At 42.1% G+C, this 14,391-nt stretch overlaps 1 protein-coding gene across 3 annotated transcripts in view, besides 1 other annotated feature; it reads right to left on the bottom strand.

The window, feature by feature from the left end:
• The window catches only part of SHISA6 (shisa family member 6), a 322,851-nt gene that overhangs the window by 266,082 nt on the left and 42,378 nt on the right, over window positions 1-14,391 (bottom strand). The window lies entirely within an intron of this gene.
• Window positions 918-1,086: a silencer, noted in NCBI's record as "fragment chr17:11200213-11200381 (GRCh37/hg19 assembly coordinates)". NCBI's record gives its function as "represses an EF-1alpha promoter that drives an FKBP-Casp9 reporter gene in an ReSE screen in phorbol 12-myristate 13-acetate-treated (for megakaryocytic differentiation) K562 erythroleukemia cells {active_cell/tissue: K562(+PMA)}" and the evidence as "EXISTENCE:reporter gene assay evidence [ECO:0000049][PMID:32094911]".

The following is a 14,391-nucleotide window of genomic DNA, read 5'->3' as shown; positions in this document are numbered from 1 at the left end:
ACCTCACCTCAAGTATCATTCAGAAAACAGAAGGCATCAGATGGGAACTTTCTCGTCCTCCAACCACCAGATAAACAAACCCTCCAGCTCCGCCATCCATTTTCTCTTTCCTCCTGCTAACACCAAGGAATTAATTGCTCCTTCTTTCGCTGAAGGGCAATATCTCCCCACTTCATTTAGGGATTCCATTCCTATTTGACCATGACAGAAACCACAAGATACTGCTACACTTGGATGGGACAGGGTCCTAGCAGCTTCCCCTCCCTTCTTCTACGGTAAGAAAAACTGATTTCCAGCTAAGCACACAGATACTAAGAACAAAGGCTGTATTGCCCAGTCTCCTTTGTAGCTCAGCATGACCATGTGGCCAGATTCTGGTTAATATGACTTGAAAGAAAGGGATGTGAGTAACCTCTGGGGCACAGCCTCAGAAGGACAGCTTGCTCCTTTGTTGCCCTCGCTTCCATCCTGATGCTTGGAGTGTGGATGCAGGGTTATATTGTCCTGGACCCCCTAGACAAGGACCCTAGAGATGGAGGAACAAGCTGTATGAAGGGGCCAACTTCGTGAACAACCTCGTGTAGTAGAATGATCATTCCAGTTCTAGAACAATTATCTTGGGCTATTCATTGCAGAGGAAATAACCTTTCTTATTTAACCACTGCTACTCGAGGTCTCCCTTACATACAGCCAAACCTATATACTAATTAATACACTCAACTTCTCTTGGATTTCACTCCTCTGCATGCCCTCTCTCCATCTCCAAACTCTTACTCTCCACTAGATGGAGCTCTATGGCAAACACGCATGATCTGGTGTCTTCCATCTATAAGAGGTACGTTCTTGATTCCATATGCCCCCAGCACCATTTCTTTACTCCTTTTCCAAGCAAAACTTCCCAAAATGTCATCAGCACAGTTCTACTTCTCCTCATCCACCTCTTTGCTTCATCCAAATTGGCCTCTCGAGTCCCTGAAGCCCCAGTGGGACTGCTCTTTCTGAGGTTGCGGTTGACTTCCATGTTACAAGCCCAGTGGTATCCTCCGTTCTCTAATCATTTAGCCCCTCCATGGCTTTACACATGGTAAGTTATTTCCCCTTTCTTGATGCACTCTCTTCTCTAGCTTCTGGGACACCACAACCTCCTGGATTTCCTTCTACTCCCTTTCTGATCAGCTCCTACCTGGGGCTCTTCCCACGCTCCTGCTATGCAAATGACCTCAAGTTTTCGAGTCCCTCAGTACTTAGTCCTAGGGCCCCTTCTCCCCTAGCTCAATATTCTGTTCCTAGGAGACATCCCCCCATCACTTCCAATACTCCCTAGAGGAAGATACTCACATTTATATTTCAGCCCAGGCTGCTCCTGGGCTCTATAGGTAAGCAATGTCTCCTACGTAACATGTCCAAAACACAAGTCTTCATTTCCAGCATCCAGCACTGGCTACTGAGGACTCTTTTCTATTCCATTAAATGGCACCACTATAGTCAAACACCTGGGATCCATCTCAGTTACTCCCTTTCTAATCCATACAATCCCCACACCCAATCCATACACAAATCAAGCCCCACTGGTTTTGCCTTGAAATCTATTTGGTAGCCTTCCCATTCTCTGCACGCTCCTTTCCACCACCTACTCTAAGCCCCTATCTTCTTTCTTCCTTGGACTACTCTTATAATCTTAACTAGTCTCCTTTAAGTCACTCCTGTGCCCCTCAGCCCATTCTCCAAACAGCAGCCAGAAAGATCTTTCAAACATGTAAAGATGACCATGTCATTCCCAAGTGTCCACTCCATCAGGGCTTCCTATTGTCCCTTCCTGCAGCATGTATAATTCTGCATGCCCTGGCCTCCTCTCTAGAACCTTCCCTCACACCCCCTTCTTCCACTACGCAGGAGTCACACTGGTCTTCTGACAGTTCCTAGAGCAAACCAAGCTCTCTGGCTTATCAGCGCCCTTGCACTTGCTATTCCCATTGCCTGGAATGTTCTCCCCTGACTTTTTTTTTTTTTTTTTTTTTGAGATGGAGTCTCGCTCCATCACCCAGGCTGGAGTGCAGTGGCGTGATCTCAGCTCACTTGCAACCTCCACCTCCCGGGTTCAAGCGATTCTCCTGCCTCAGCCTCCTGAGTAGCTGGGACCACAGGCGCCCGCCACCACGCCCAGCTAATTTTTTGTATTTTTAGTAGAGACGGGGTTTCACTGTGTTAGCCAGGATGGTCTTAATCTCCTGACCTCATGACCTGCCTGCCTCAGCCTCCCAAAGTGCTGGGATTACAGGCATGAGCCACCGCACCCGGCCCCATGACTTCCTTTTAATCTTTTAGGTCTCAGCTCAAACGTCACCTCCTCAAAATGGCTTGCTAGGACTGTCCCTGTCATCCTTTATCATTTACAAAATCCTTTATGACTCATTTATTGCATCCACTTCTTTACTTCCAACATCACCTTCCCATCATTTATTGTGTCACCTTTATTTCCTTTATAGAGCTTACAATAATTTGTATTAATTTGGATTAAATACTGGAATGTGGGCATGTTTGTTATTTACTGTCTGTCTCCCCCACTGACTGTAAGTTGCCAAGAGCAGGGAATTCAGAGTCTTATTCACAGCTGTATCCTCAGAATCCATCATGGGCCTGAGACTTAGTAGGTGCTCAATAAACATTAGTAGAATGAATGAATACTCATTAGTTTGGATGGTACAATTGTGACTATGGTACTCCAAGAGAAGACTGATATGGTAGTCCCCTATTATCTGCCGTTTTGCTTTCTGCGGTTTCAATTACTTGCAGTCTGAAAATATTAAATAGAAATTTCCAGAAGTAAACAACTCATAAGTTTTAATTTGCTCACCTATTCTGAGTAGCTTGATGAAATCTCCCACCCACCCGGGACGTGAATCATCTCTTTGTCCAGTATTTTCACACTGTACCGGATACCTGCCTATTAGTCACTTTAGTAGCTGTCTTGGTTATCAGATCGACTGCCGCGCTATCCTAGTGTGCGGGCTTGAAAAAGCTTTATTTTGCTTCTTAATGGTTCCAAAGCACAGAGTAGCGATACTGGCAAGTCAGATATGCCAAAGAGAAGCTGTAAAGTGCTTCCTTAAAGTGAAAACACAAAAGTTCTCAACTTAATACAGAAAGAAAAAAGACTTATAGGCTGAGGTTGCTAATGTCTATTGTAAGAACCAATCTTTTAGTGGTGAAATTATGAAGAAGCAAAGAGAGATTTGTGCAGGGTATATATAAGGTTTGGTACCATCCTTGGTTTCAGGCATTCAGTCTTGGGGGTCTTGGAACGTACATAGCCCCTCAGATAGGGAGGAATACTGTATTTGACTTTCTTAGTTTCATCTGTTATCAACAGTAGAAAAATAAAGCTATGAAAAAAATATATATTGTCTCATTTGGGAACAAACTTTGCAAGACTGGCAGTGGGATTCTGTCTGTTAAATCAGCAAAAAGGAGCAGCCTCGCACGCGGGGAGCAACCTGCTCATGCCACTGTCTTCTTGGGTCCACAGCTGCTACCTTCTCCCTGCCCCTTATCCTGCCAAAGGCCTGGGGTGGACAGGACCCAACCCTCACACTGCTCAGAGCCTTAGGGACATGTCTAGAGCCTCTGGTTTAACTTAAAAACAAAAACAAGGCTGAAGTGAGAGCCAGTTGGTTACTAGGCTGGAGAAATGTATGGAAGAGTGAAGACTGTATGGGAGCCTTTGGGTATCTCTGAAGGTTTTGTTGGAGTCATTCGAGCTGATATCCCCTCAGTATTGAGGATATTAACAATAACACCAGCCGGGCATGGTGGCTCATGCCTGTAATCCCAGCACTCTGGGAGGCCGAGGTGAGTGGATCACGAGGTCAAGAGATCAAGACCATCCTGGTCAACATGGTGAAACTCTGTCTGTACTAAAAATACAAAAATTAGCCGGGCATGGTGGTGCGCACCTGTAGTCCCAGCTACTCGGGAGGCTGAGGCAGGAGAATCGCTTGAACCCAGGAGGCAGAGGTTGCAGTGAGCCGAGATTGTGCCACTGCATTCCAGCCCGATGAGAGAGTGAGACTCCATCTCAAAAAACAAAAACAAAACAAAAATAACACCAAGGATATTAATAATAGTACCAATAATAATTTATTCGAACTGCGCAGCGTGTGCCAGGACTTGCAACCATTTCACAAGTGTGACCCGGTTGAATCCTCAAGACAGATCTATGAGGTTGGTGTGCTTATCCCTACAGCACCAGAGACTGACTTCGCTGAGGCCAGATGCAGCAGATATCCATCGAGATCATACAGCTGGTGTGCTCAAAGCCCCACCAACCTCATCACCATGCTTGCGTTCCTACAGCATCATGCCTCCTCCCATTTGGGAATTTCTGTGCTCTGGGTCTGGGTGTCAGTGCTAAATGACCCAGCAGGAGGAGTGTGTCAGTACTTCCGAGGATGCCCAGGCTCCACCAAGTTTCCTGATCCATGCTCTCAGGGAAATACTAGGTTACTTTAATGTTCTCCCAAAGCCTGTTCTCTCATTCTTTCCTGTCTTAGTAAAGGGCACTGCCGAATCTCTGGAAATTATCCTAACTTGCTTTTAACATGTAGTAGTCGTCCTTGAAAATCCATTTCCCTTGCATATGACAAATCAACAGGTCCTATAGCCCCTGTAACCTTTTGCTAAAATGTATCCCCAATGCACCGACTTCACCCTGTCTAAGCCACTATCACTTTCAACTGACCTGCGAAAAAAAGCTCCTTGATTCCATATTGGCCATCTTTAGAATGCAACTGTGAAAAACTTATAAAAATATCAATCCATACAGCAACTGGAAAAACCTTTCAAAAATATCAATCTGGAGGCCGGGCGCAGTGGCTCACACCTGTAATCTTGGCACTTTGGGAGGCCAAGGCAGCTGGATCACCTGAGGTCGGGAGTTCAACACCAGCCTGATGAACATGGAGAAACCCCGTCTCTACTAAAAATACAAAAATTAGCCAGGTGTGGCGGTGGGCGCCTGTAATCCCCGCTACTCCGGAGGCTGAGGCAGGAGAATCGCTTGAACCCAGGAGGCAGAGGTTGCAATGAGCCAAGATCATGCCATTGCACTCCAGCCTGGGCAATAAGCGCAAAACTCCATCTCAAAAAAAAAAAAAAAAATCAATCTGATTGTGGCTCCTGCTTGAAACCCTCCAGTGACTTCTCACTGCTTGGGGAATTCAATCACAGTCAAGTTTATGTATCCCACCGGAAGGACGCAAGTTCATCTCGTCTCCTTGCTTTCTGCACCCCCTGCCCGCCACCACTGGTCTCCGGTTCCTCAAACTCACCCTGTTCACTCCCATTTCAGGACCGTTGCTCAATATAATCCTCCAACTGAAATTTTCTTCCCCAGGATCTTTGCATGTCATTCCCTGTGTTGCTAGGTTACTGAGATCTCAATGTAAATGTTACGTCCTGACAGAGGCTGCTGTGAGCTGAATTGTGTGCTCCCCCAAATTCGTATATTTTTAAAATTAATTATTATTATTTTACTTTATATTCTGGGATACATGTGCAGAATGTGCAGATTTGTTACATGGGTATACATGTGCCATGGTGTTTTCCTGCACCTATCAAGCCATAATTTGAACAATGAGAACACACGGACATAGGGAGCAGAACATCACACACCAGGGCCTGTTGCAGAGTAGGGGGAAAGGGGAGGGAGGGCATTATGACAAAATTCATATGTTAATGCCCTAACCACCAGAACCTAAGAATGTGACTATATTTGGAGAAAGGGTTATCAAAGAGGTAATTAAGTTAAAATGAGATCTTTGTGGGTGGAGGTGGGGGAGTGGGGAGATGGTCAAATTATACACAATTTCAGTTAGACAGGAAGAATAAGTGCAAGAGATCTATTGAATTATGGTTCTGTTCTTGAACGCTGCTAAGACAGTAGACTTTCAGTGTTCTCACAACAAAAGAATGATGGGTATGTGAGGTAACGCATATGTCCATTGGCTTGGGTTAGCCATTCCACAACGCATGCATATTTCAGAACAGTACCATAAATATAGAAAATTTTTATCAGTTACAATAAATAAATAGTTTTAAAATGAGGACCTCGGATGGGCCCTAATCTAGTCAAACTGATGTCTCCCTAAAAGAGGAGGTTAGGATACAGATGTGCACACACAGAGGGGTGACCACATGAGGACACAGGGAGAAGGCGGCCACCTACAAGTCCGGGAGAGAGGCCTCAGAAGAAACCCACCCTGCCCACATCTTGATCTTGGATTTCAACCTTCAGAACGGTAAGGAAATAAATCCATGGTGCTTTGTTGTTGTTGTTGTTGTTGTTGTTTTGAGACAGAGTCTCGCTCTGTCGCCCAGGCCGGAGTGTAGTGGCACAATCTTGGCTCACTGCAATCTCCGCCTCCCGGGTTAAAGTAATTCTCCTGCCTCAGCCTCCCGAGTAGCTGGGACTACAGGCGCCCGCCACCATGCCCGGCTAATTTTTGTATTTTCAGTAGAGACGGGGTTTCACCATGATGGCCAGGATGGTCTTAATCTCGTGATCTCATGATCTGCCCGCCTCAGCCTCCCAAAGTGCTGAGATTACAGGTGTAAGCCACCAAAATCCGTGTTGTTTAAGTCACCCAGTCTCTGGCAATTTTTTATGGCAGCCCTACCCAACTAATGCAGAGGCCGTCTCTGCCCATCCAGTCTCAAGAAGCCACCAGTAACTTATGATCGCATCCTCTATTTTAATTATATGCATGGGAGGTACCACTCTCATCCTTGTCCTGTGTTTTTATTCTCTCTCCCCGTCCCGAACTCTCACTCCCTAAGGGCAGATATCTGCTCACTACCCCTCGAATCGCCCACTACTGTGCATGTCACCTGGAAGTTTCTGAATACATAGCTACTGGATTATTTAGAATAAATAATTTATTATTAATAAATTAATGGAATTGAATTATTAATAAATTATTAAATTATTAATAAATTTATTATTAAATTAATAATAAATGGAACCTAGCAGAAAGTCAGGGCTGGCATCACCAGCGCTACAGCATGACACATTCAAGGCGAAGAGCATGGGGGATGAGAATGCATCCCCTGAAGCAGACACGAAAGTCCCATAAACCCTCACATATCAGTATCATAAACATAGGTTAGCCTGGATGTAACTGACAATATTTAATTGTTTTGACCTAGGAAACCAGCAATTTCCATGGCATAATGCAAGAAAATACAAAACACAATCACAGTGGAAGAAATTAACACATTCCTAACAACTTTAATCAAGAGAACAAAAATAAATATATAGAGAGAGAAAATATTTGAGGCCCGGCACAGTGGTTCACGCCTGTAATCCCAGCACTTTAGGAGGCCGAGGCAGGCATATCACGAGGTCAGGAGATCCAGACCATCCTGGCTAACACGGTGAAACCCCGTCTCTACTAAAAACACAAAAACTTAGCCAGGTGTGGTGGCGGGCGCCTGTAGTCCCAGCTACTTGGGAGGCTGAGGCAGGAGAATGGCATGAACCCAGGAGGCGGAGGTTGTGGTGAGCCGAGATTGCGCCACTGCACTCCAGCCTGGGCAACAGAGTGAGATTCCATCTCAAAAAAAAAAAAAAAGAAAGAAAATATTTGAATAACATCATAAACACACTTTCTCCTAATCATGATATATTAATTATACATTGTGAAGATACTCTTAAGTGCCCATATAATAGTTACAAAAATTAGTTGTACATATGCCATGCATACACACACAAAAACTACAAATTTCCAAAATTGGGTATAATTTAGGTCACAAAATCTACCTAAAATGCAATAAAATTAGACTTTAATAACAAAATATGAACAAAGAGCCAATCCAATTGAAATTTAAGAAACAGTCTTCACCGAGTAACCTTTGGGCAAAAGCATAATTCAAAACAACCACCACAGATATTTAGAACACACCAGTAACAAAAATATTACATATGAACACATCTAGGATTCAGTTATACCTACTGTTAGAGAAGAACTTACAGCTGCAAGTTCTTTTATATTTAAAAGGAAATAATAAATTAAAATAATTAGTAATCCAACACTAATTTGTACACTAACTGGTTCTATCAACTAATTAAATTTTTAGCAACTTCAGTCAGAAATAAGAGAGAGAGCACAAGCACTCAGTGATACAAAACAAAAAAGGTATATAATCACTGATCCAGAAGAGCTATTTCAGAATCAGAGGCTGTTTGCAGCTCTATGCCAATAAACTCAATGGAATCAGAATGATTTTCTTTGAAAGTACAATTGCCAAAATTAATTCAAACTGAGAAGAAAGTCTAAAAGTTGTACTAATTATAGAATAAATGGAAAATATTGTGTGTGTGTGTATATATATATACATATATATATATTTGTATGTATATTTATATTTTAAAAGATTCTTTTCCAGGGCAATTTCACATGTAAGCTCCTTCAAAATTTCTTGGAACAGAACATACTGGGGAAGGGGTGGTAAGGGAGATGGAGGATGGAAAAAGAAAACTTCCAATTCATTTTGCAAAGCTAGCATAACCTTGATTTCAAATCTTAACAAAGCTATCTCTGAAAAATCATGATAGAGGACAGTTTAACTCATGAAAATAGATGCACATACTCTAATAAAATACTAGAAAATAAAACCTAGCATTATTTCAAAAGGGTAACAAACTTTTGACAAAATTGGTTTTGCAGTCCAAGAAAGACAACTATATCAATGCTAATATATCATTCTATTAACAGTTTAAAGAAAAATATAAGTAATTATTTAAATAGATATCCCCTTAAGAAAGGCAGGAGTCAAAATTCAACATCCATTCTCAATTTAAAAATAAATCTTAATGACAGGAAATTAAAGTATACCTCTTTACCATGACAAAAATATAATAATAACAAAAACATTTGTTGTGTATTTATTATTTGAAAGATTCTGTGTTAAATGTTTTACCATGTTTGTTACTCCTCAGTTAAGATCAATTACAAACCAACAGTCACCATCAGGCAAAAATAAACCACACAAAGAACCATTTCCACTCTAGAAAGAAGTGAGACACTGATACCAACTGTCCTCAGTATCATTTAGCCTCATTTCGGGTCAGCCAGTGCAGTTAAACAAGAAAAAGAAATAAAAAGTAAGACTACTTAAAAGAAAGAGGCAAGATCATCCTCGTTATCAGATGATAAGAATATAGATCTAGAAAACTCAAGAGAATCAGTGGAAGAAAATGGAAACTAGTAAGAATCTTCAAGAAGGTTGGCAATGACAGAATTCACAACAGGAATACTGTGTAAAGTAGAATCTTATTCTAAAAATGTAGGTATATATGCAAATAAAGACCAAAATGTAAACTAGTCATTTTGAGTAAGATTATGAGTAGTTTTTAGTTTTGTTTTTAAACAGAGGCATAGCTTGCTATGTTGCCCAGGCTGGAGTGCAGTGGCTATTCACAGGCAGACTACAAGAATTAATCTTTTAATATCAGCAATAATTAGTGAGAGAAGGAGGAAAAAGAGAGAAAGAGAGAAGAAAATAGTGATCTTATTTACAATTATAAATGCTATATAAAATACCTGCTGTTTTAGGTGTGAAAAAAATTTTGTTATTTATTGAAACATTGTTTGCAATAGTGAAAAAGACTACTATCTTCCATGGCCAACAGCAGGGTACTCACTGAATAAATTATGCTTTAGACACATGAAAAGGTCCTATTGCAGCAATAAAAGAAGGTTTTGCAACTAGCTGGGTATTTGGTGAGATTAAGGAAGTATTGATCATTTATTTAAGTGAGACAATGGCATTGTGGATGGATTTTTTAAAGCATCCTTTTCTTTTCAGATTCATCCTTAAGATGTCACAGATGAAATGAAGTGATATCTGGAATTTGCTTCAAAATAATCAGGTGCTAGTGATGTGTGTATGATTGGGGAGTTATGGTGGGGCTATAGATGAGTAGGATTAGCTGAGTGGACAATTTTTGAAGTTGGGTGATGGGGCATGGAGATTCATTATACATACCATTCTTTCTACTTTTATATATGTTTGAAATTTTCCATAGCAAAGAAAAAGCTGTTACTAACAATGATCTACATGCATAGTTTATTTTTTATGTTCTTTTATGTTTGTTAATATGTAAATATATTTGTGATATATTATTAAGTGAGAATATCAATGGCCTTCCTTCTTTCCTTCCCTCCCCACTTCCCTTCCCTTCCCTTCCCAGCCCCTTCCTCCCTCCCTCCCTCCTTCCTTCCTTCCCCTTTCTCTCTCTCTCTCTCTCTTTCTGACAAGGTCTGTCTCTGTCACCTAGGCTAGAATGCAGTGGTGCAATCAATAGCTCACTGCAGCCTTGACCTTATGGACTCAAGTAATCCTCCTACCTCAGCCTCCCAACAGCTGGGACCTCAGGTGCATACCACCGCTCTGCTAATTTATAGAGATGGAGTCTCACCATTTTGCCTAAGATGGTCTCCAACTCCCGGGTTCAAGTGATCCTCCTGCCTCGCACTCCCAAAGTGCTGAGATTACAGGCATGAGCCACTGTGTCTGGCCAGGGAAGAGCAAATTTTGAAATATTGTATAAAGTACAATCTCATTCTAAAAATTTAGATATTTGGGATTTTGAGTAAAATTATGAGTAGCTTCCCTTCCTTCCTTCCTTCCTTCCTTTCCTTCCTTCCTTCCTTGCTTCCTTCCTTCCCTCCCTCCTTCCTTCCTTCCCTTCTTTCTTTCTTTCTTTCTTTTCATTACACACTACAGCCTCCAATTCCTGGTCTCCAGTGATCCTCCCACCTCAGCCTCCCAAGTAACTGGGACTACAAGCATATGCCACCATGCCCGGCTATTTTTTCTTTTACTCACTGCATTTTCACATGTTTCTAAAGTGAAAATATTTTAATTGAGTAATAAAAATTGTTAAAGTAAAAAACATGGGAAAAAACTGAATAGGAACCATATTCAACAAGAAAACAGAATAGTCATGTCTGCTGGTCAAGCTACTTCCTTCCTCATATCAATAAACTTAAACCAAAATATTCATATTCCCAGGCATTCAGGACATCACCTTTTCTTTTCTATCATTCTGATAAGAGCTGGAATTATTTCTCCTGAATCCTCCTTCCAAGGCTGGATGCAGTGTTCTGCCTCTAAGAGGTTCCCAATTCATGTCATTTAAACAAGTAAACGCATTTTGAGATTCTGGACAAAATATCCTGGGGTCCTATAAGGTCTGAATGGACATTTCACCCAATAAAAGAACCTTCCTCTGAACTGGGATCTGGTTCCTTTGGAGAGAAACTGAAGTTAGTCCTGACTCCCATGTGAGAAAATCTTTCCGTGATTCCCCAGAAACATTTCTTTCCTAGTAACAGCTACGATTTTCCTTACAAACATTCCAGCATCATTCAAATGCATAACTTGGGTCAAGGGCAGAATGAGTGGGAGTGCAACCGAGAGGTACAAGCCAAGAACTACAGGAGAAAGGGAGGGAGCAGAATGAAGGCGGTAGATGTACCACAGAGGGCTTCCCAGAGGAAGTAGCATTTCAGTAAGTCTTAGGGGATAAGGCTTCCGTAGGTGGTCAAAGGGGTATGGGAATTCCTAGGGCAGAGAATAGCAAAAACAAAAGCATAGAATTGTGTAAGCCCAGGATATGTGGATGTGTGCCCTTTGAATCTGTTCCTGAATCTTCAGTAGGGAAGGACACACAGATATGCTCTAGTCCCTCATATGGTCTGGTCTGTGGGGTAGATGTTAGATGGGCAGGGGTGAGGCCACTCTGAAAAACAAGGCCCCCCTTGTTGCAGGCACACTCATTCCTGCTGAGGTGGCCAGTGGTATAGTTCATGGTCTTGGATGCATTTCCTACACGGGGGTCTCACCTACGAGTTCAGGAGTTCGAGACCATCCTGGCTAACACAGTAAAACCTTGTCTCTACTAAAAATACAAAATATTAGCCAGGCGTGGTGGCACGTGCCTGTAATCCCAGCTATTCAGGAGGCTGAGGCAGGAAAATCGCTTGAACCCACGAGACTGACGTTGCAGTGAGCCAAGATCGCGCCATTGCACTCCTGCCTGGGCTACAGAGTGAGACTCCATCTCAAAAAAAAAAAAAAAAAGAGAGAGAGAGAGACACAGAGCCACACCACCAGCACCACCCTGCCTCTCATTCCAACCACTGTCACTGCAGCCACAAGCTTCTACAAAGTGCACAAGAGCCCTTTCCCAGCTACGCTAATCTGTGTCTTGACCACAGGTTTTCATAGTAAACACAGACCTCTGCAGCATGGGCGCATAGTCTGTACAAGCCCAGGGGCAAAAAGGGAAATTGATTCCTGTCCCATCAGTCCCTCGCTCAAAGTAAGCTCTCATTAAATGCATATTGGATCAAACTTGATTAATTCCACAAAGGCCTCCAAACTGTCAGTAGGATTCATTTTTTAAAAGGTGTCAAAATCATTATTTCAAACAATAAAATGACACCCCTTCTCCCCTTTTTAAGACAAAACTTTTCCCAACTGCAAGGCAAGATTTGCTCCTCTCAAGGATTGAGGGGTGGTGGGATATGTCCCCCAGATGTATCATTTGCAACAAGCTGAAGGGAAGAAAGCAAACGGCAGCAACTCCTGCAAAAATCATGCAACACCTCCAAGTCTCAGAATGAGGAATCCATCCCTGTCTGTCTGACACACCAAATGGGATGTGCAAACCTAATCCCAACTCAGACTTCTAACAACTCATTTGAAGTTCCTCAGATCAAACTGGAATAAGCAGACACCCTAACTGCAGAGCCTCATCCAGGAAGACTTACTTCTGGGGTGCATGTGTGTATAGAAGCACATATATCAATTAAACCTTGGAGTCAGTGAATATTTTCCAGGGTTTTGCCTTTGATGATTTCATATCAGCCAAAAGACACATGTGTTAGCAAGATGGCCCGTGTTTAGCATCCTGAGCTGAGTAGCAGGCCACAGGGCCAGCTGGAGAGGGCTCAGTTAAGAAACCAAAGAATTGAGTCATCCTGGGGAAACAGATCAACTGTGGTTAGAAGAAGTAGAGGTGGACAGAGGAATGGAGCCCTGGACAAGGAGGATCTGGGTTGAACATATCACTAAATTGCTTTGGTCCCAGCCATAAGAACTGTATCTCATGACTGCTGCAAAGTTTAAGTAGGATTCATGCCAGTGAAAATATAAAGTGCTATAGAAGTCTAATACAGCATCAATAGAATCATTAAAAAACAGGATGAATTCCAAGGGACATCTGAATTATTTTATTATAGAGAACTTTGTTCAAATGAGCACATAACCAGAAGCCATTCCTCAATGAGGAACTCCTATTTGAACCCATACAGAGAGAGAAGAAAATGCACTAAAAACATGGGGCAGACACTGTGAATTACCTACCTAGTAGTCAATTTGTCTCCCTCCTTCCCTGCCAATAAATTCCACATTATTTGGGGCAGCAATATATGTGCAGCTAAATGAGGGTCACTGACACTGCCCTTCTCCATTCCTGTTGCCTGGAATGTAGATAAAAAGCCTGGAGCTCGGGCAGCCATGTTGCAATCATGAGGTAACAAGCATAAAGATGGAAGCCAACCCTGTAAGGATGATGGAAGAGAAGATGGAAAACATCTGGTTCTCTGAAGGTGTTGCTGAGCAACTAAACCAACTCCAGAAATTGCCTACTTTGGGACTTTTGACTAGGTGAGAAAATCAACCTTTATTTGGTTAAGCCAAATAAAGTCTTCAGTTTTCTGTTACTTGAAGTTGAACATAATCCCAAATGATATGAATCATTTCCTTACTTTTTACTAGATGAGGTAGGGGGAGGATTGTGCATGCCTACGTGTTTGTACAAGTGCATGTAAATGTGTGTATGTCTGTGTGTGTGGTTTTGAGGTAGTAGTATTAGAGTCAGTTTTCTAATGGAGGCTTTCCTGTGAAGTGTAAGAATTTCCAAACAAGGAAAACTTAGGAGAACTAAAAAGGAACTGGGGAACAACAACCTACCAAAAAAACTATCAAGTCTGAAGCGCAAAGCACACAAAAAGCTTCAGCTAAACAATTCTATAGATTATTTTCCAATATGCCTCCTTAATAGCAATAGAAGCAATATAAGAGATAAGTTTCTCCACAGCACAGAACAGAACTGGAATTTTCCCATTAGTCACTAAAGTTTTCTGCTCTTGAAATCCAAAACTGCACCTTACTTTCATTATATGCTTCTTCCCTGTTCCAACAATAAAGGTGGCTGGCATCTGCAACGTTACATGACATCTATGCATTAGAAAATATTTACTGAGTTCATATGGCATGGTGCTAGGGTTATATATAAGCTTTGTGCAGTATCTGCTGACACCA

The sequence above is a fragment of the Homo sapiens genome, chromosome 17 (genome assembly GCF_000001405.40).
Source record: "Homo sapiens chromosome 17, GRCh38.p14 Primary Assembly".
Lineage (NCBI taxonomy): Eukaryota > Metazoa > Chordata > Mammalia > Primates > Hominidae > Homo > Homo sapiens.
Note: the sequence above shows the minus strand (reverse complement) of the source record. Positions and strands in the feature narration are given on the sequence as shown.